Source organism: Homo sapiens, chromosome 6, assembly GCF_000001405.40.
Source record: "Homo sapiens chromosome 6, GRCh38.p14 Primary Assembly".
In the NCBI taxonomy this organism is placed as follows: Eukaryota; Metazoa; Chordata; class Mammalia; order Primates; family Hominidae; genus Homo; species Homo sapiens.
The window spans coordinates 51,811,494-51,832,509 of NC_000006.12; the positions used below are offsets into that span (position 1 = coordinate 51,811,494).

The 21,016-nt window shown below is 37.9% G+C and overlaps 1 protein-coding gene across 23 annotated transcripts in view; it reads right to left on the bottom strand.

Annotated features, from left to right (window-relative positions):
- PKHD1 (PKHD1 ciliary IPT domain containing fibrocystin/polyductin) overlaps nt 1–21,016 on the bottom strand; it is a 472,317-nt gene that overhangs the window by 196,195 nt on the left and 255,106 nt on the right. For 21 of the 23 annotated variants that reach the window (XR_001743469.2, XM_017010944.3, XM_017010945.3 and 18 more), the window contains one exon: nt 19,368–19,496. The exons of 1 other annotated variant lie outside the window; for it this stretch is intronic. Coding sequence is in view for 21 of the 22 variants with exons in the window: in XM_017010944.3 (XP_016866433.1) it covers nt 19,368–19,496 (129 nt within the window). In the remaining variant the exon portion in view is untranslated. Of the gene's footprint in view, nt 1–17,529; nt 17,549–19,367; nt 19,497–21,016 lie in introns of those variants that run through there. One more of the 23 variants, XM_017010952.2, reaches the window with a different exon arrangement.

The following is a 21,016-nucleotide window of genomic DNA, read 5'->3' on the forward strand; positions in this document are numbered from 1 at the left end:
CACATATGAATACTTAGAACATATGCTTTTCATTGCTGAATTAAGGAACATCTTAGCATGGCATATAAGAGTTCTAGAGTCAAACTATTGGGTCCAAATATTGTCCCTCTACCAATCACTTTTATGATCTCTATTTCTCAGTTTCCCGGCTACCTGATAAAGAGAGATGGTAATAGTGCTTCACAGGGTGTTGTGAGGATTCCAAAGTGAATTCATCCAAAACGCTAAGGATAGAAACTGATATGTAGTAAAATACTCAATTAATTAATATTTTTAAAGTTATTCATTATATAAATAAATACACATATTTAAAAAAATGTAATCCCAACTGAGAATAGCAGTTATCCAGGGGAGGGCAAAAAGAAAGGGCTAAATGGTTCTTGATATTTTGCTTTGTATATTTTTACATTATTTTGAACAGAAAAAAATTATGTATTATGTTTAAAATTTTTTAAAGAACAAAGTTACAGAAGCCTAATACTAATTGTAAAGATGTCAGATAGCCATATATAATTAGATGTCTAAGACAAGAAAGGTATTGGACTTTCATTCAGGTACAAAGCAACATGGAGGCCAGCATGGAGAGAGCAGCAGGAATGAGACACACCTGGATTTACATCCCGCTCGGTCCCTTTGTAGCTGTGGGACCCAGGGAATATTACTTATCCTCTAAGCTAGGGTTTTAATAGCTGGTAGGTCCACAGACACCCTATTAGAGTTTCAGTACCATTTGCAAAGTTGGTTCAAAATATAGATCACTAGTAATTTAGAAACATTTCCATTGACTTTTATGCATGCTAAAGTTTAAGAAACAAAATAAAGTTAAGAAACCAAAATAAAATACAATAAAAATTCTAAGCCTCCCAACCAACTGAATGGATCCTCCTCTCAGCCAAGGGGATTCCAAAGAAACCTGAAAAATTAGCTCAGGCCACGATGGGAAGGAGTGGTCATCAGACATACCTCATTATACATTCCTGCCTTTGGAATTTAGGTACAACTGACCAGCATTAACATTAAAACAGAGATATTAAAACTGACAAACAGACTATTTTGGAGCAATAAGGTACTAAATTCCAACCCAACTCTAGTAGAGCATCACATGACAGATAGCAGGTCCTGAAAGTATCAAAGTATTTTACCGCAAAATATATTTGTCTGTCATATTTTGAAATGGCTATGCAAAGCTGTCTCTTATGGGGGAAATTTATATTCTTTAGAGAATCGCATTCCATCTCCAGGTCTTTTTTAGATCCTGAAGAGATTAGCTGAGAGTCTAGTACCTTTCAAATGTCTGAATAGGAAATGTTTGCCATCTATTACCTCTAAGGGTAGTCACCTAAAGACTTCATCTTCATAATAAGAACCTTGGTATGCACAACCCTTTATCTTAACCCAGACACTCCTTTCTATTGATTCCAGGTTTTTAGATAATAATTTAACTCTTTCAACCAATTGCCAATCAGAAAATCTTTGAATCCACCTATGACCTGTAAGCCTGCTTCCCACTTCAAGTTGTCCTACCTTTCCAGAGCAAACCAATGTATACCTGACATGCATTCATTGATGTCTTATGTCTCCCTAAAACATAAAAAAACAAGCTGTAACCCAACCACCTTGAGCACAAGTTCTCAGGACCTCCTGAGGCTGTGTCACAGGACATGGTCCTCATATTCAGCTCAAAATAAAACTCTTCAAATATTTTGAAGAGTTTGACCTTTTTATTAACAGAACTGCTCTCAATTTTGATTTCTTAGTGTGTCAAACATGGTGCCAATGTCACACCATATTTATAAAGCTTTAGTGAGATAAAATAAATATTTAATACTGTGCCTGGAACATTAAAAAACTGAACTCATGTTATTATAATAACGGGTACATTGTTGCTAGTACTACCACTGTTATCACCATACTCTGTAATAACTGTTCCTGTGTTTAAATGAAGGATCTGATATTTCCTCAACATGCCATAGCCTTCTATGGCCTTATATTTATATAACTTATTACTTTTTCTGGCTCAAAAAATAAATGTGAATATCTCTACTATTTCCTACATTTTTTTTTACTGGTAATATTTTGTGGCCTTCTGATTTTAACTTCTGACCACTATTATTCAAGTAACCTGGGATCTTGAAAAAGTAAGTGCAGTGCTTGGAACTAAAATTCTGGTATGGTCCTTATTAACGCAATATGATTTGGGCTTGACTGTGATGGGAGATTGTAGAAATAGGATAGGAAAAGAAAAGATATCGGAATAGTAGAGCTTATAAGAATTGTGGTTAAAGTTTTCCTCTCTGGGTGAGGCTTGTACTAAGCATGGGGTGGCAAAAACTATGTTATTAATAAAATACTATATTTTCTAAGAACAAACCAGCCTTCCCCTTCTCTTTGTTACCTGAAAAACCTAGGCATAAAGCTACATGAGTCTTTGGTCCTGATTCTCCATTTCCTTTGGAGGGAAAAAAAAAGTCCACATTTCTCACACAGCTTTGAGGGAAAGACTCATAACCATACTTAATGTATAAAAGCTGTGATTTCCATGCAAACTGCTGCTTTCCCAGAAAAATGTAAAAGCCCCCTTTAGCAGTTTAAAAATCCTTTAACCATTTCCTTCCTGTTCCACTTGAACTAGGGGCCAGCTTGCTGTGCCTTAAAGCCTTCCTTCAGTGGCTTTCAGATGAATAAGTTAATTTTAGAAGTGTTAGAAACATTTTTAATTCATTCAGACTTGCAAGATATCATTAAATACCAGGTACATACACTAGGAGCCAAGAAGAGTTACTCTACGATTCTCTCAGTCACAGATAATTTCCTTACCATACTGGGATTTAGGCCTAGCACTGCAAACAGCAAAACTTGGGCTTCCTCACAGTAGCCAATGTCATAGCTCTAAGCCTGCACCAATGTTTACTCATTTACACTCTTTCTTTTATAGTTTCACCAAAAAAGAAAACAAACAAAAACAGGTGCATCCACACTATACAAATGAGAAAAGGTAACCTCTGAAACCATTTCACAGCAAACAGAAGATCCACAAGCTGCTCACTAGCTAAAACCACAGGAGGTGTGTCAGGCACCTTGATGCTGAGCCACAGGAGGCCTGCAGGCTTGGAAGGCAGTAAATCCCCAGAGAGCTCTAAACTCCTGATTGGCAAGCCACACCAGGCCCATCAGCTCCTCAGGTGCTGAGCCACAGGAGGCCTGTCAACTGCTCAGGTGGAAGGTGTGGGAGGAGGGAGGAGGCAAGCTGTGTGGAGGAGCTTGAATGAAAGGCCACCGGCTCACCAGGGGAGACAGGAAATGAGAGGTGCCTACTGGGAATACTAGAGTTCAGAGAACTTCATCAAGAAAAGGAACGAACCCACCCCCTCCTTGCATCTTCTTACCTGCAGGGAAGCACATCTCACAGAGAGTACATTTCTGGCCCAGGGATTCTAAATAAATAAATGCTAATGTAGAATGATTCCCAGATTGAGTTCTGCAGCAGACCACCAGGTCTTCCAGAGAAAATCAGCACCTCTTTGTCAGTTGCTAAGGTTCTCAGGGAACGGCCACCCTCCATCCACCCTTTGTTTGCCAAGATTCTCAGTATGACAGTGACACAGTGACATCTCCCCCTTAAGTTTCCAAAAGTCCTGGAAATACTTTAGTAGGGACTGACTAGTCAGTGACTGCATCTCACTCTTTCATTTATTTACTCTAGCATTTGTTGTGGCTATAAGCCAAATCCTCTGCTTTGCATTAGAGATATAAAAAGTCAAATAAGACATAACCTCTGTTCTCGAGGTGACATAAAAGTAAGTAATATTTACAGAATAAGGGTATATGACAGAAATATATCCAAGGTGTTGTAGGAACCCAGCGGAAGGAGAATTAAATCAAATGAGGATTCGGGGACACTTTCTAGAAGAGGTGCCACCAAGTTGAGTGTTAAAGGACAAAAATAAATAAGCTGAAAGAGAGGTTTAGGGTGGGGAGGGAGAGAAAGGGAAAGAAAGGAGAAGTGGAAAAAGTTACAGGTAGTAAGAAGAGCAAGTAAAAATAACTGGAAAAGAAATAGTCGATTCCATCCAAGAAGAATGAGTAGATAAGTAGAACTGGACAACAATGCATGCAGGAGAACAGCAGACGATGAGGCCAGATCACAAAGGGCTCTGCAGTCCAAACAAATACGTTTGAAATCGACTCTGAAAGCTTCAGGAAGCCCCCAAGTATCATGCAACATCGATATCCAAGACCAAGGCCTCAGAAAAATTAAAGCCTGCTGATTTTGAAAATTGGGTTTCTCAGGTTTCTGTAAAGGTTAACTTATTTCCAACTAAATAAGAAAAAAACAAGATTATTTCAGATTCATAGTCAGCCTTAGCTCTGGTTCCTGAAGTAAAATTTCTCACTTTATATTTTGCCACTTGGTTGTTAAATCTTTTGTGAAACCATATACATATATGATCATGTATAGCATATATAGCACATATTTTACTAATATGTCTTTAAAAAAGGATGCTTGCCATAGTAAATAAACAGTAATATGATATTAAAACTCAAGTAAGTGCCAAATATTCCTTTTCTGGAAGGGTAAAATTTTAACCATATATTCCCAATATGATTTACTTTCTCATAAATGTATTAATAAATTGCTAATTACACATATGTAGTGCAATACTAATGTAATAAATATTATCTACATAGTAAAACATAGAAAAAGAAAATTTTCAAGGAATAGAATAAAAATAAGGAAAAATAAAGGTTTTGACATTTTCTATTTGTTCTTCAGTAAGTCATCATTCAAACCTATGTTGGAAGCCCCCTACTTACTTAGACAGCTAAGACAGATCTACACCCCCATGCCTCTGTGCTCTGTGCAATTGCATGTAGATGTCTGTACACCTTTCATTAAACCAAATCAACTAAAGGAAGAGGAAAAGAGATAAGGAGAGTGGTGAGGTAACACACCTGTGGTGGGCTTTGTAGCCAATAAGAAGCTGAGGCAATAGAGCTGGATGGGAGAAGACACCTGTTAAATGAAGTTTAGCCTGAAGCTGCCTCCTTACATATTTTAAGTCTGGCTTAAAGGCTTCTCTGCATATAGTTAATTGTAACCTAACTAGATATGTAAACAGACTGTAACCTACTCTTGTGCCAATCACAGAGTTTCAGCCAGTCAAAGGCGACCAACTGATCAAACTGTGTGCAAAAAAGGCAAATGCTAAGCTGTAACCAATCTGGCCATTTCTGTACCTCATTCCTATTTTCTGTATATCACTTTCCTTTTTCTGTCCATAAATCCTCTGCCACATGGCTGCACGAGAGCCTCTTTGAGCCTACTGTGGCTCAGGAGGCTGCCCAATTTGCAAACGGTTCTTTGCTCAATTAAACTCTGTTAAATTTAATTTGTCTTAAGGTTTTTCTTTGAAAATACCCTTCCCTCCACTCCCTGGGGTCAATGTGAGGGTGAAGGAAAACATAAATTATGAACCAAGCTCTTGACCCTCTTTGTAGTACATGAAAAGCAACCTGGGGTGAAGGCAGGGATAGATACAGGACGTTTTATCCGAGGAGCAAGAGAGAGTCATGGGGCTTCCAGGATAGCCTTGGCCCCAGAAGTTCTTTCCCATATTACCAGAACTCTGGGATCTTAGGGACAGACTTGTTTTTTGAGGGGTTTTTTTTCCCATTTTTCTCTAGGAGCATTTAGAAGTCAGCAATTTGGGAACCACTCTACATAAGGTATGTGCCTCTATTTCCTTACTACAGGTGATCTTGCTAAATGTAAACCCTATTCACAAAATGTGTGTCATCATAGGATCTTGCCCACTTCTCTTTTCCGCAGGATTTAGTAAGAAAAAAAAATGCTATTGTGGTGAAGATTGGAATTATCAATACCTCAACCTATGGGAGGAAACTCTGCTGTAGACACCCATCCCCCTAGATTTCTCAAGAAGAAGGAGCTGCCACACACTACTTCCTGCCCTATGATATACTGAGGGGAGAGGGAAGGGGACTGGTGTGTCAGTTTCAGAGTTTTGATTCAGGACTACAGCCGTGTCCCCAGAGCAAACACCCCAAGGCATTCAGCCTCACTATGCCAACAGCAATCATTCCTGCTGATCCAACACACGTTCACCGATTATGAATGAATGAGAGCGGCTGGGATTTAATCAGCACTCTATTCAATCCACCATGCCTCCATCCATTCATTCACTCACTCGCTCACTCCTCTAACAAATAAACAAAGAACTTCTACTCTTCTGGAGCTTCCCTGGACACAGGAAGCACAAAGATGAGAAGGCCCCATTGGTGCCAATAACATTCTGGAAGACAGCAGAGAAGTGCCTGCCATTTGCACCCCTTGCTGACCACAGCCCAGACAGCCTGGGCAGAGTGCAGAACATTCACCACCTCCGTGCGTGGGCTATACAGACACCATCTCTCCACACACTACTGCTGCCTGAAAAATGCAGTCAGATGGGTTGTCATTAAGCCTGACAAAAACCCAGCACCATCTAGGTAAGAGCAATGTTTTTTATCCAGACACTAAATTGCAATCAGGTTACGTTATCATGTAAATAAAGAGGCAAACAGATGGTTTCAAACGAGATCCAGGGCTTTCAGAGCATTGCCGATGTTACAAATGAAGAAAAGCAAGGACAAGCCATTAGACACAGAGCGGGCCCCGGAGTGCACAGCAGCCCAACAAACAGAATCCTGGCCTGGATAATGCAGCCAAAACAAAAGGCAGTCACTTACTGCTTGCAATTGTTTGTTAATCAAATACCACTAATTTCCAAATCTGGGCAAATGCTCTGAGAAACATATATTCATACTTTTTCCATAAAATATATTTTGCAACGGTGTCATCTGTGTATATCACCATGACCCTTAATAACACAGCTTTTTAAAGGCTCTGTTTTATTTCCTCCCACATGTTTAAATAGGAACAGTGTAATGAACTAGACAGACTCAGGGAATCCAGAGGCCTAGATTTGACTCTACTGTCTCTGTTATCTCTGAGCTCTTTCTTGGGCATGCCCTCTTGCGATCATTTCCCTCAACTGTAAAATGTGAAAACAAAAAATGTGGCCGAGGCCATTAGCTGCTTCCCAGTATTTATTTTATCCTCCCTTAGTAATAAGAACTCCAATTTTTAGCTGAATAGTTTGTCACCTAGCCAAAAGACTACATTTCCCAGCTTCCTTTCCAGGTAGAAGTGGCCACGTGGCTAAGTTTACACTATTAAGATGTAAACAGAAGTGTCATGTGAGAAATAAAAGAAGAATCCTTTCTCCTTTCTGCTGCCTGGAATGCGGCTGCAATGGCTGGTGCTCCAGCACATTGATGGACCACCGAGTGACTTTGGAAATAGAAAAAACACTGGAGGACAAAAAGGTAGAAGGGGTCCAAGTCCCTGACACCATGGAACAGATTTTTATGTAAGAGAGATGTAAACTGACATATCTATCAACCTCGTACCATAATAACAATTTTTAATAAAAATAATAATTTTCAGGGTTTTTTTATTCACAGAAGACTTAATCTTCCTAATACCTGGATACCCAAACCCCTAATTCTTAATACCTGGACAACAAAACTCCCAGAATGGTCGTGAGTGTTAAATTAGGTGTGAGAACTCTTTGTACTCAAAATGTTTCCCTGAATCCTCAGCATGATAAGCTGCTCTGTGAATAAAAGTGTTACACGATCAAACATGCTGGAGAACAGCTGGTACTATATCCCCCTCCGAAAGTTATACAACCCATATTGTCATATAAAAGGATTTGAAAAGACCAGAAACAAAAAAAAGTATTTATCTGTGCTTAGTCCAAAATTTTTCAAATTTGTTTGACTTACTTTTTTTTCCATGTGATGCTTACAGGGAGCTAGTTTCAGAGGAAACACTTTGAGAAATCCTGGGTAAATTTCTTACCAGTAATAGCTAATATCTAAATTGTTGCTTTTAGCCTTCAAATATGAATTGTAATTGAATTTACTTCTATGCCAGTCCAGGTCCAGGTCTTACAGTATATGCTTTCATTACTCTCTGAATGTTTCCTATAGCACATTTGTTAGTCGTATTCATTTTTAACTACATGCAATTACATTTCTATCTCCCCAGCTAGGCAGTATGTTCCAGGTGGGTCTCAGAACTATTTTGCTCATCATTTTATCTCCAACATGAGGCAAAGTGGCACATAATAAGTTATGCACCCAGTAAATAGTTGCTGAATAAATGCATGATTTCTGAACTCTGTTTTCATATCACACATTATGCAAACAGCAGTGATGGAATACATGTAAATCAATTTTGGCTTTGCGAGGGGTTTTAATCTCTTTTAGCTCTCTTGGATGGCATTTGGACCATTAGCTCCACCAGTGCCTATGTATATACTCTTAATGAACTGAACGTTAGAATGTCCCTTCTAAGTATCATTATTTAGTAAACATAAGAAATCCTGAGTAACATTGACCTAAAAATAAAATAGGAGATTTTTAACGTACTTGCAGATAAAGAAAATATCAGAATTCTCACCAAGACCCATTACTGGGTTCAACTGGTCTGGATATCCAAGATAGATCACTTACATAGCTGGAAGCTGAGATTGGCTCTTGGCTACAGCTTATCTCCATCTGGGGCTGCCAAGCAGTGCACAAAAATGACCTTTCCATATGATTTAGATTCCCATAGCCTAAGGTATGTGTTCCAAAAGGAAACACCCCAATGGCAAATGAGACTTCTAGGCAAAAGGATCTTCTAATGCAAGGGTTCTTGTGACCTAGCCTTCAAAATCCAAGAACATTATTCTATTAATACAGTCTGTCAGTCCATCTAGTCACAAAGGCCAGCACAGATTCCAGGGGAGGGCAGGAAGCTCTATGTCCCTATAGAAGGAGCAGCAAGCATTTATAGGAAGGAACAAAATTTATGGTAGCCCTTTTTGGAGAATTTCTGCAATAATGACATTGAAACTACGATACCTATTAGAACCAGTGCTAGGTACTGTTACTCAACCTTCTAACAGAGGAGCATATTATATCACATTTTATTTTAATATTTTGATAACCATAACAATATAACTGATTTCTTTTATAATCCTACTTTATTTTATGTATCAAAAAAATTATTTAGAGAATGGGTCTAGGCTTTACCAGACTGCCAAAGGGATCTGGGACATATAAAATGTTAAGAACCCTTGAGCTGCTTAATAGTGTGGTAACCTAAGGGTCAGCAATGAGCCAACTATGCCATTCCTGCCCCTGCTGGCCTGCCTGTACCTACAAAGACCTTGTCACTTCAGCAAAGTTCTTATCTCTAAACCTCTGTACATGAGGAAACTCCAAAAGCTCCCTCAAGGGAGTATAATCAACTCAAGAAATGGCAACTGTACCTAAACCAATGATTGGGAAATCATGAATTATTTAATTTTACATTCCAAAAATATCTGCATGGAAAACAGACCATAAAGAGAAAAAAAGTAATTCAATGAGAACACGTGAAAAAAGCCCTGCTCTGCATTAAAAACTCCCACGGGCAGCTGCTCCTTGCTTGGCTTGTACTTCCCAACCCCAACCAGGGGGGTAAAATACATATGCAATCACTCAGTTTCCCTTCTTTTGTAAGAAAGGCCTTGGTAACACTCCTCAAAGAATATTAATTCCATGAGACAAAGTTCTTAGGGCAATAAAACTAGGTAAAATATGTTTATGCATTTTAATCAGGGGAAATTTTTATTAACCCTCAGCAAACTTGTTGCAGTGCAAATCATAGAATATGGGGTTGGCACAAACTTTAATGGTGATTTCTTAGTAGGGTGACCCAATCATTCTGGTTTGCCTCAGACTTCCCAGGTTTTATCACTGAAAGTCCTATGTCCCAGGAAACACCCTCAGTCCTGGATAAACCAGGGTAGCAGGTCATTCTCTTTACCAATGATTTTAAAGACATTAGTTCCTGATATTTATGTCTCCAAATAAATATTAAAACCTATGGATGCCACTGTCGGTATTCCAGAACTGAAAGGAATTAACCAATTAGCTCTGATAGAGTAATGTTGCCTGTTTTAAATAACATGGACTTCAATTCTTACCTCCAGGATTGAACTCATTCTAAGAGTTATACATAATCTCCTAAATTTTAAAACAAAATATATTTTGTATTGTGTTGTGTTTTTGTAATACTCTACTTTTAGGAAATGACAGGGATTCAGTGATTTCATTTTTTGTTTGTTTGTTTGTTTGTTTTTTGAGACGGAGTCTCGCTCTGTCACCCAGGCTGAAGCGCTCCACCTCCTGGGTTCAAGTGATTCTCATGCCTCAGCCTCCCAAGTAGCTGGGATTACAGGCGCACACCACCACACCAGGCTAATTTTTGTATTTTTAGTAGAGACAGGGTTTCACCATGTTGGCCAGGCTGGTCTCAAACTCCTGACCTCAAGTGATCCGCCTGCCTCGGACTCCCAAAGTGCTGGGATTACAGGCGTGAGCCACTCCACCTGGCTGACAGTAATTCCTTAAATGACATAACCTATTCTATTTTCCAAATCAAGCTGATTGAGCTATACACATTAACCAGTTTGGTGGGACTGAGCCTATTACCTGAGCCTATTAATTTAGAACACCGGGCAGTACTGTAACCAGAAAGTGACCAGGGACACAACCTGGCTGCCACCTTAAAAGTCTGCTCATGGGCAGTAATGGTTTTTAATTTTAACAAAGATATGGGTATCCTTGAAGACACCGATACAATCCAGATGTGTGAAACTATAAAACAAGCAAGAGATGTTACATTAGATTTTGCATTTAATTAGTGGGAGCCTGCACAGAGGATATAGTTTATTCTCAAGCAATTTCCAAATTACCATCCTCCTTGTCCTCCTTGGAAAATTTACTGTTAACCACCTCCATCATCGTGGTATTGCTCCTTTCCTGCCTTGCCTTCTGCTGTCCTGGTTCTAATTTCATGACTACTCGTTCTATGATATCTCTTCCTGAAACTTAAATTAGCATTGCCCTAAGATGCTGACTTCTACCCAATCCTTATATCTCTCTGCAATAGCTCTCATATGAGTCCTAACCCCCATTCAATACTCAAGGCTTCCTTAGTCAATTCTTCTGAGAATTACCAAATTGCAATCCAGATTCTCAATTGGCCTTCCTTTCAATCTTCTGGTCCACATTTCCCGTTACCATCTAGGCATCTGCACATGAACCTGAGTATATGACTATAATGGAATTTATTATCCTCCCTGCTAAACCTACTCCTTTACATGCATCCTCTATTTCTATTGATGGTACCCCTAGGCATTCACCTGTGTGCAAAAGTTCTGGTCATCTTCTCAGCTCATTTTTCTTTATTTTTTTACAATCGATAAATTGTTAACCCTATCAATTCTGCTTTCCCATCAAGTTTATGGTACTTATTATATTTTTCCATAGCAGCCATCATTGCATTTACTGCTACTATATAGCTTGTAATTTGTATTGTTAAGGTCAAAGTATACTTGAAATCCTGGGGAAAGTAATGCATAGTTTCTTTAAGAAATAGTTGTAAACTGCTGCTGAAAGTTTGTACAGGTTAAGTAAGAGAAAGAAGTTGCTATAGTAGCAAAAAAAAAAAAAAATTATACCTATTGCAACTAAAGGAAAGCATCATAGGTGTTTTACAGGAATACCTGCTAGAATCCTCTCAGGCTACAACAGAAGGTGCCCAATACGGTCACACCTCTGGGAGACTGAGGTGGAGTATTTGAAATCATAAAAGTAGTTATTCTCTAGATGGGAGCACATACCAAAATAAAACCCGAGTCTCTTATATACTTCATGCTTGCCAATTACCGCCACCCCATGATCTTTACATCCTGGGGACGTGTGCCCCTCCTAGAAAATTACTATGATCCATGATGCTAATGCTAATGGACCATGACAATGAGTGTGTTTCTCAGGTGAGTGAAAACAAGAAAAGGTTTGTAAAAGTCCTCTATTAGAGTAAAACTCGAATTAGTTCCAGCAAGTTAGCAAGCCATAAAGAGTGTCAAGGCCTACCTGACTTTGGATCCCAAGAGTAGACCCTAAGTGAGTTCTAATTAGCCAGAAACAAATGCCATGACTGATTCAAGCAGACATGGACAAATTAAGATTGGAAAAAGAATCTCAACCTATTTCAATATATTTATATTTTTATGTTTATTCTGTCACAGGGAAAAATGCACTGCTATTTTAATCGAAATTTCATTTTTATGAAGAAAAGCATATATAGTTGAGGGAAAAATTCTTTTTAATTCCCACTCCTAATTGTCCACCCTGGCAAAAGCACTGTGTCACAGATCTTGGTTAGAAAGTTTAGGGGACTGCTGCTACTCATTTGGGAGCATCCGTTTGAATCGTGGTCATTGCAACTAGAAGGAACTCCCTAGCCTCAAAGTGTTTTGTCTCAAAATTCAATCCTATTTTAGGAACAAAACAAATAAATCAATAGTAGTCCCTTTAATAAATTTTAGGGGTCAACTTAAAACACTGGGTTGAAGCATGGGGACTAAAATTTCACTCAGCTTTGGTATAAAACATCATATAAGTTTGGGCAATAATCTTAACATATGTCATAGCATTTTACAATTTATAAAACACATTATTATTTAGATTATTATTAGTTGGATTAGAAAGCCACTACATTTCCTGCCAAATCAACAATTCTATGTGTCTATAATTTACATATATATTAATATTTATAAGTAAATCCACCTCAAAAGAAAACAAATAAATTACTAGGTAATCAGTTCATCAAGGGACTCCATATAGCAAAGCACTTTATACTTAGACTGCTTTAAATTGTAAGTTTCTATAGTATATTTTTAAATGATTTGATATATGAAAAGTTTATTTACATTCATCATTTCAAAGATAAACTGCTTGGGGATGTTGGTGAGAACACCTGCTCTGTGGAGTCTGAAATTCTTCCTTCCAGTGGTGAGGACACGACTTTGACATCCTTAAAGCAAGGTTCACTAAGGTCTATGATTCTCTCTAAGAAATTGCCTAAAAGGAAGGAGAAATAGACAGTTTCCAAAGATCCTTTCATCTTTGACTTCAGGTTTTCTTTTTATTTATTTTTATTGGAAAATAATGTTGATTAAAGTTTTTAGGTCAAAAGTAGCTTAAAGAACAGCTTTTCCATTCACTTTCTAAAGAAGGTCAAAGGAAAGTTCAACTGTTGTCTCCCTGGATCTTTAATGTCTACCCTGAAAGAAAATGCTCGAAATATGTTTCCTTCATGTCTTTCCTCATCCCACCATATCCCTCTCTTCTAAGAAGAGGCTCTGGTCACACATGTAAAGATTTGACCACAAGTTGCAGTTCAACAACTACCGTCCATTCCCACTGCAAAGTGAGCAATTCCAAATTGGGGGCCCAATTATGTTTGGAGAGTTGACAAATACCACTTTCAGGCAGAGAAGAGGTGGTGTAATTAACACTAAGCATTATAGGTAAAAATAAAATAAAATAAAGAAACTAAAACCCTTTGAATAGTCTGTCTCCTGGTGTTCTGTAATTTCTTATTCATGCAAGCCAACAGAGTCTAAATAAAGTCTGTCCAGACAGGGAAGACAGCACAAATTTAGCAGGCTCTAAAGCACTTTTTGAATTAAGTCAGGTACATCTGCTTTTAATTACATACATGCATATATGCTTACACACATAAACACATACACAGAGGTAGATTAAAGACAGCTGCAAATTCTTAGCTATTCCTCCTATTGAGAGGTGGAACCTAATTCTTCTCTCCTAAATCTAGGCTGACCTCAGGACCTTGCTTGACCAAGAAGTTGATGGCCATGATATTCTGAGCTTGCCAGAGCCAGCTTAGAAGGCATGTGGCTTCCACACAGGTCTCTTGGACCACTTACTTTTGGAACACCTTTCTTAGGCTATTCTTTCTTGGAATCCAGCCATCATGCTGTGAGGAAGCCCAAGCAGCCCCATAATAAACCCATGAGGAGAGGAACTGAGGCCTCTTAGTTGATTATCCTAAGCTCCCAGCCAATAACCAGCATCAAGGCCCAGCCATATGAATGACCCATCTTAAAGGCATCTAAAGGCAGCCAAGGTGAGCCTTTCAATGACCACAGTCCAGCCACTATCTAACTATAATGCATGGAAGAACCCAAATTAGAACACCTCGGCCTCGCCTTTCCCCATAAAATTGTAAGCAAAATAAAATGTGTGTTTTATGCTGTTAGGTTTCTGGGTGGTTTGCCAGGTAATGATACAGTTTCAGAACACCCACTCCACTTGTCACCATTCTGATGCCACACATTACAAAAAGGACCCCAGTAGCTGAAGCCCAAATTTCTTCCCTTCCCACTTGCTAATCCAGAATAAGTGGGGTGGTGGGCTTTACTGCTTTTATGTCCCATCCAAAAGGTACAAGACCAAAATTTGAGAACTACACAAGCTATAGAAACATCACCAATATTTGTTTGGTTTCTAATTGGTGTTGTAGACCTACATCTCTGCTATAATTCAGTATGAAATACTGAATTACATATAATCTCAGATAAGAAAAAGGTGAATGAAGTCAATAGTTTTATAATCACAAGATTTCATAGAATTCCTCCCCTCAAAAATTACTTTCTGATTTATGATCATCTTGCTTCATATCACCAACCTATTATGATCTTTTGCAATTTAACAAGGAGGTGCATTACATATTGCCATCTTTGAACATCACACGACTTTGATAAGCTTCTCTGGCATTTAAGGTACTGAATATTAAAAATCAGAACAAACAGAAGAGCTATTATAAAAGAAAAACAGTACTCTCCCATTCATGTCTTCAAATAAGGACAGTTCAAAGTAATATACAAAATGTAACAGTGAATTCTACCACACACATAAACACACAAAGATGCTGGAGGCTACATGATATCATATTTGCACCCTTCAAAACAGAATCCTGAGAAAGCACTGGAGGCATCTTACACAAATCCACTCTGGTCAGTTTAGAACAAGGCATAGAGCAGAAGCTAGAGGGATCTTTTGCCATTTGACCAGCTATTCTTTATGAAGGTTTGAGATTTGCGTAGTAAGGCAGAACTTGTTCCTACTACTTAAGAAGTTGAGAATGCATTCAGGCCAATTTTTCCAATATTTAGAAAGCAAAGACAGTCAGATACACTTACTTGTTGAAGCAAAGTTATCACGAACTTAAACTACAAGAGCAAATTCTTAATGATTACCTCAGCTTACTCCATATAATACCACAGAGAAGAATTTACAGTTCTTTCAAAATCCAATGTCCATAAAGATAGAACGCCTTGAAGGAAAATGGTACCATACTTAAGATAGTGATGTCTTTTATTAGTACAGTAAAGTCCTATTTTTATGGAATAGGATGGGTCTGAGGTCATTCCATAAAATTGATTTCCCAGAAAATGGAAATAGGCAATTTACCCTAAGAATTTTATTGAAAAATTATGCTATTCTATTTGAATAATGATGGGAATGTTCTACACGTTTCCTTTATTAATGAATTAAAATACACAAAACACCATAAAATTATATTAGAGGTTCAAAAGTATCACTTAAATCTTTTTTACCAGTCACTTTCATTTTGTAAAATCAGCAGTTCCATTAAAATCGTATTATGTAAAAATGGGTTTTTACTGTAATAATAGTTATTACCTATTTAGCTCCCAAGGATGTTGTGAAAATTAAATAATAAGCCATTGGAAAGCAAATACAAAGTGTTGCTAATACCAGAGGCCAAGAGGGGCAGCCAGATGGAAAAATGAAGGAAAAGAGCACCTGATACATTACAAATCACAGCTTTCATCTGTAATTCCATTACCGCCAAAACTCTATGCGTTGGTCATGTGCACTGATGTTATCTCATTTCATCTTTCTTAACATTATATTAATTATAGCCCTAATGTTATAAATAAAGGTCAGAAAGGTTTACAGCTTGTCCAATGTCACACCGTTGTAAATGTCAGAAGCCAAATGTGAACCCCAGGTTTATCCTAGTCGACAGCTCATCCTATATCCTGAAGGATCCCCAATATACCCTTGTGTCTCATAACTGCCCCTCTAATTCTTACCTCATCTTTCAAAATTCACTTCAAATGCCTCTTCTTCCATGAAGCCACCTTTACCCTAGAGACACTATGATTCTAAACACATTCAGTATTTATTATGGCTATTTGTTGTATTATTGTGCATTATGTGTTTTATTAACCCAGCAAAATCCCTGGCTGGTCACAGTTGTATGGAACTTGACTTTGGGTTCCCAGATCATGAGCGCTTGGAACTGTGCCTTGAACAGAGTGAATGTTTGGTAAATATTTGCTAAACTGAACTGGAAAGGGGTGTTCATTTGAATTACAACTACATCTGCTACCAGATGCAAAGCAAATGCTTTTACTAATGGTTCATTGCATTAGAATGGTTCTAATGCAATGGTTCATTGCATTGCATACCTCTTTGGGAAGTATCTCCAGTTTTTCCAAGCATGTGTGATAAGATTAAATACCTCAAGCAGTGTATCTGACATACAGGAGATACTCAACAAATAATAGTTTTTTATTTTATTTTTGTTTTATTTCAAGTTAAGAATGCGGATGGTAAGAGAAGAATGTGGAGGGGCATAAATTCAGTATAATATATAGTCTAATTTGGAGATATCAGAGCAGGTATTGATGGTAAGTTTTTTTGAAAAAAGAAAGATACAATGAAGAGTTAGAACTCTTGATTTAAATTCTCTGATTTCCTGCAAAGCTTCTTTACTTACTGGCTGGGTAAAACTTGAGCAAGTTACCCTCTCTGCATCCCAGATTTTTCATCTGTAAAAACAGGGATAATAACAGAATCCACTTATAGAGTGGTAGTGAGAATTATATGAAAAAAAAATCCTTGTAAAATACTTAGTATGGTGCATGTCACACACCAAGCACTCAAGTTATAGTTGCTACTATCACCATCATTACTATCATCGTAAAAATCATTTCATAATTCTTAGGAATCTATTCAAAGGAGAAGACATTTTTTTCCACAGACTGTAAAATCCTATAGTGGTATGTGTCAATGCTGTCAAACACAAAGATTTATTTCTGCTATTGAATTATGGATGGGAGCAATGAGTTCATGCACTTCATCCAAATGATGCTTACTGAACGTCTACTTTGCGCCAGAGTCAGGTGGACAAATTTATTTGATTTAAAGAAGGCTAGGAATGAAAGAAACAAGGGGAGCCAGGAAAAGGTGGAGAGTTCAGAGAGAGACAAAACCACAAGCAGAAAACAAAGGTAGATTCAATCCAGAGACCCATCAGAGGTCAAAATATCAGCCTGTCAAAAATCAGAAGGGAAGAGTAAGGCCAAGCAGCTCCTGCATAAGACCCCAATCCAAATGGCACAATGAATTCAATCGCTCATCAATCACAGATCATTTTTTGGAGATAGAAGAGGGGTTATTAGACAACAGGAGAGGGACAATGAGCAAGGATTTTATTTTTTATATATTACACACCTGTTTTTCACTCACCTGTCTTTTCATGTGAAGGCTAGAAATAATGAAAAATAACTGTGTATGTTTTAAAATTCTTAACTTTTCTGATTATCACAATAACACTGAAAGGCCAACTGGAAAGTCCTTTCTACATCCAATGCCTGTGCCCCACCTCCTTTCCCCCACCCAGCATTGATTTGTGCTATTTAAGAGCAGCTTCACGGAGAATTCAGGCCCATCCTATGATCTTATGAGCTGACCATAGACAAAGGAATGAAGAATAGTGGAGAAAGCCAGGGATCCCGGGACCCAGGACACACAGTGGACACAGTCAACTGCAGTGCCAAGCAAAATGGCCAAGATTGCTCCTTGCTCGGCATAAAAACCCCAAAGGATACTAAAAGCTTGGCAACCTTCAAAAGCTTCTCTTGCTTCCTGCATGGGGTGGGGGAAGCAGCTTGCTTAGTGGGAAAAACCATAGCCCAGGGTGAATCCGCTGGCTAGATTCATCAAAGAGATGGCTGAGACAGAACAGATTTTTCCTTTTCATATAGGAATGACTCACGAGCTTGTTTATTCAAAAAGTTACATCCTCCATCAAAGAGAGGTGGTTTACTGGGAAGTGGGATGATAATAATAATTGACGTTTGTACTGGTCAGCCCACTCACACCTGTCCCTCGTGTCTCTGGGCACAGTTACACAAACACACCACCAATGATAAGAAGGTGGCCAGTATATCTTCTTTCATTCTTCCTTCATTCTGCCACACAAATAAAGCAAACAATACAGTGACCCTCCTTTATTTTACTCGTAGTCATTTTAGAAAGGGAATGTGCGTTATTGGTTCAAGATGAGGACTGGAAGAAAGACTGCTTGGGTTCAAATTTTGACTCTGCAAATTGCAAACCGTGGGACCCTGAACAAGTGACTTAATTGTCCTGGGCCTCTGTTTCTCTGTCTGTAAAAGTGGGGATAATAATATTACTTATTTCATAAGGTTATTGTGAGGATTAAATTAGTTGGTACATGGAAAACAGTTCCCGGCACATTGTTAGTTCTCAGTAAATGTTTGACATTATCATTATTATTACTTCACAGATGGTTAAATGTTCTTCCATTATGGATCTTCTTTTATTCACTATTATCTTAAGAGGTTCAAATTAAACCATAAATGTAATTAGGTCTTTGGGGGAAAATATAATTGTCCTATGAAAAACATTTTCTTCTCAGGCTAGGGAGATATTCTGGAACTTTTGAAAACTCTCCTTTAAATAAGAAGATTTTATAAGTATGGCTGTGTGTTTCTGTATATCTAAGGAATCATCTTTTTTATAACGTGTATACTGGAAGATAGGTCTAGACAAACAGATGAATAGATACATAGATAGGTATTTTTCTATTTTATTAACCTACTTCTCGGCAATTTTCAAAACTCATAGCAACCGAAGAGCTTGTCATTTTTCCTCAGTCCTGTATTTCAAAATTCCCAAAGGCAAACCATCAGAATGCATTAATAAATTGTTGTCTTCCATACCCTCTGTGTCTTTCAAACTTAAGGATACTAGAACCTGTAAATCCATTCTCTGACACATGAAGAAAATTAACCAGTTAGTGGATTATTTTAACTCCTTTCAGCATGACAATTACTTATTCCACTTTTAATGAAGATATGCTAGGTTAATTTTGGGGGGATTTCACTGGTCTATGAAATTGTTCTCCTACATTAACCCCCCCAAAAAGAGGAAGAATGAAACAACATAAGTGCCTACTTATTTCCAAACTCTTTACTGTGTTGTACAATATAAATGAAACATAATCAGATCTGGCTGGGTTCAGCCTGTCTGTGATTCATCTCTTGGGTAGTTTTACTCACTGGGTAAAATGAGAACGTCATCCCCAGGGCCTGGAATGGTATTGTTGTATCCTCCCCAGCCTTCTTCAACACCTTGCCATGTTTCAGGGAGGGACCATTTTAAAGCTGATTCAGGGGCAGAGGTAGAAGCTAGAAAATAAAAAAAAATTTTGAAAATCTAATCCATTGTGATAACTTCCAAATTCTATCCTTATTTTAGGATGCTAGTGGTATTTTCACCTCCCAAAGAAGCTGCCTATCAATATTTTATAAGTTTCTGTACAAATATTTATCAGTTAAAAAGCAAGTAATTATTCAATCCTTAGATTACCTTCACTTCTGAAAAAAATCCCACTTTTGTTATTATACATCTGTTTTGCCTTATAATAAATATGGCATGCTTATCATGAAATATTTAAAAAATGCAAATAAGAAAGGTAATAATTGCCCATAATCTCACTACCTTGCAATAACTACCTTTTATTTCTGTTTCCTTCCAGAATTTCTCAGAATTTTTACATAATTGAGATTATATCAAATCCTGTTCTTATTTTTTACACCCAGTTCTACTTTTGCTTAGCTTAGCCTATTTTCCTATGCATTTTATAATATTATTTAAATGCCTTGTAAACATAATTTTAGTGGCTACATATCATATTTTAAAAATCCATAATTAATTCCTAATGTCTGACATTGAGACTCTTTCTATTCTCTGTTAAATTGTAAATAATGCAGTGTTAACTGTCTCTATGCAAATTTCTCAATAACCCTGATTATCTTCTTCAAATACATTCCTCAATGGAATGACTGAGTCAAAGGTGATGTTCTTCCCACAGCTCTCCCTACACATTAAAGGCGGGGTAATAATCTAAAAACTTCTCAGGGTGGTAACTTACAGACAGATCATACCTTCCAACCAGTTTCTATTGATTCTGCCTTTGATCGTCAAACGGCATTTTCTTTTCAACCATTCTGCTAGTATCTCATCGCATAATTGAAATGTAAATCTAATAATTTCCAATGGGGACTGTCCAATAGCACATCACGCACAACACCATGCTGAACCATATCTACTTGTTCTTTCCTGGGATGTGATTACTGGTACAGAGTTAGAAGGGAAGAGAGATTGTCTCAAAAGGGTAGAATGAAAAGGCCTCCTCTTTTGAGGGGAGGGAGGGAATCATGTCCATGATTTGCTAATTTTACAACATAAATAGTGAGCACCTTCTCTATTAGAACTGCCCTTAAAAAGTAGGGATACAAAAAGAAATAACATGTCACCCTTGCCTCCAAGGAGCTGATAGTGTTATATCAGTATTAGGAGGATAAAAACTCTACACAGGCACTGAGGGGAGTTCTTTTTAATGGTACCTGATCACGAAAGGAAGCAAGATTTTGCCAGGAGAAGCTTCCCGAGGGAAGTAGTAACTCAGCTGCATTTTAAAGCCTTAGAAGTTATTCAGGTAAAGGGGAGGTTGTGATGAGTGTATGACAAGAGGGTTGCACTGCAGACAGAAGGATGAGCATGAGCCGAGGCAAAAATTGGGAAGTCAAGTGGAGGAATGATAAGAAATTTGGTGTTGCTGAACCACAGAGCTAGAAGAGAGGTAAGTGACAAGGTTGGTAAAATAAACAGAGGCCAGAGTATGAAAGATAATAAAGGTGGAGGG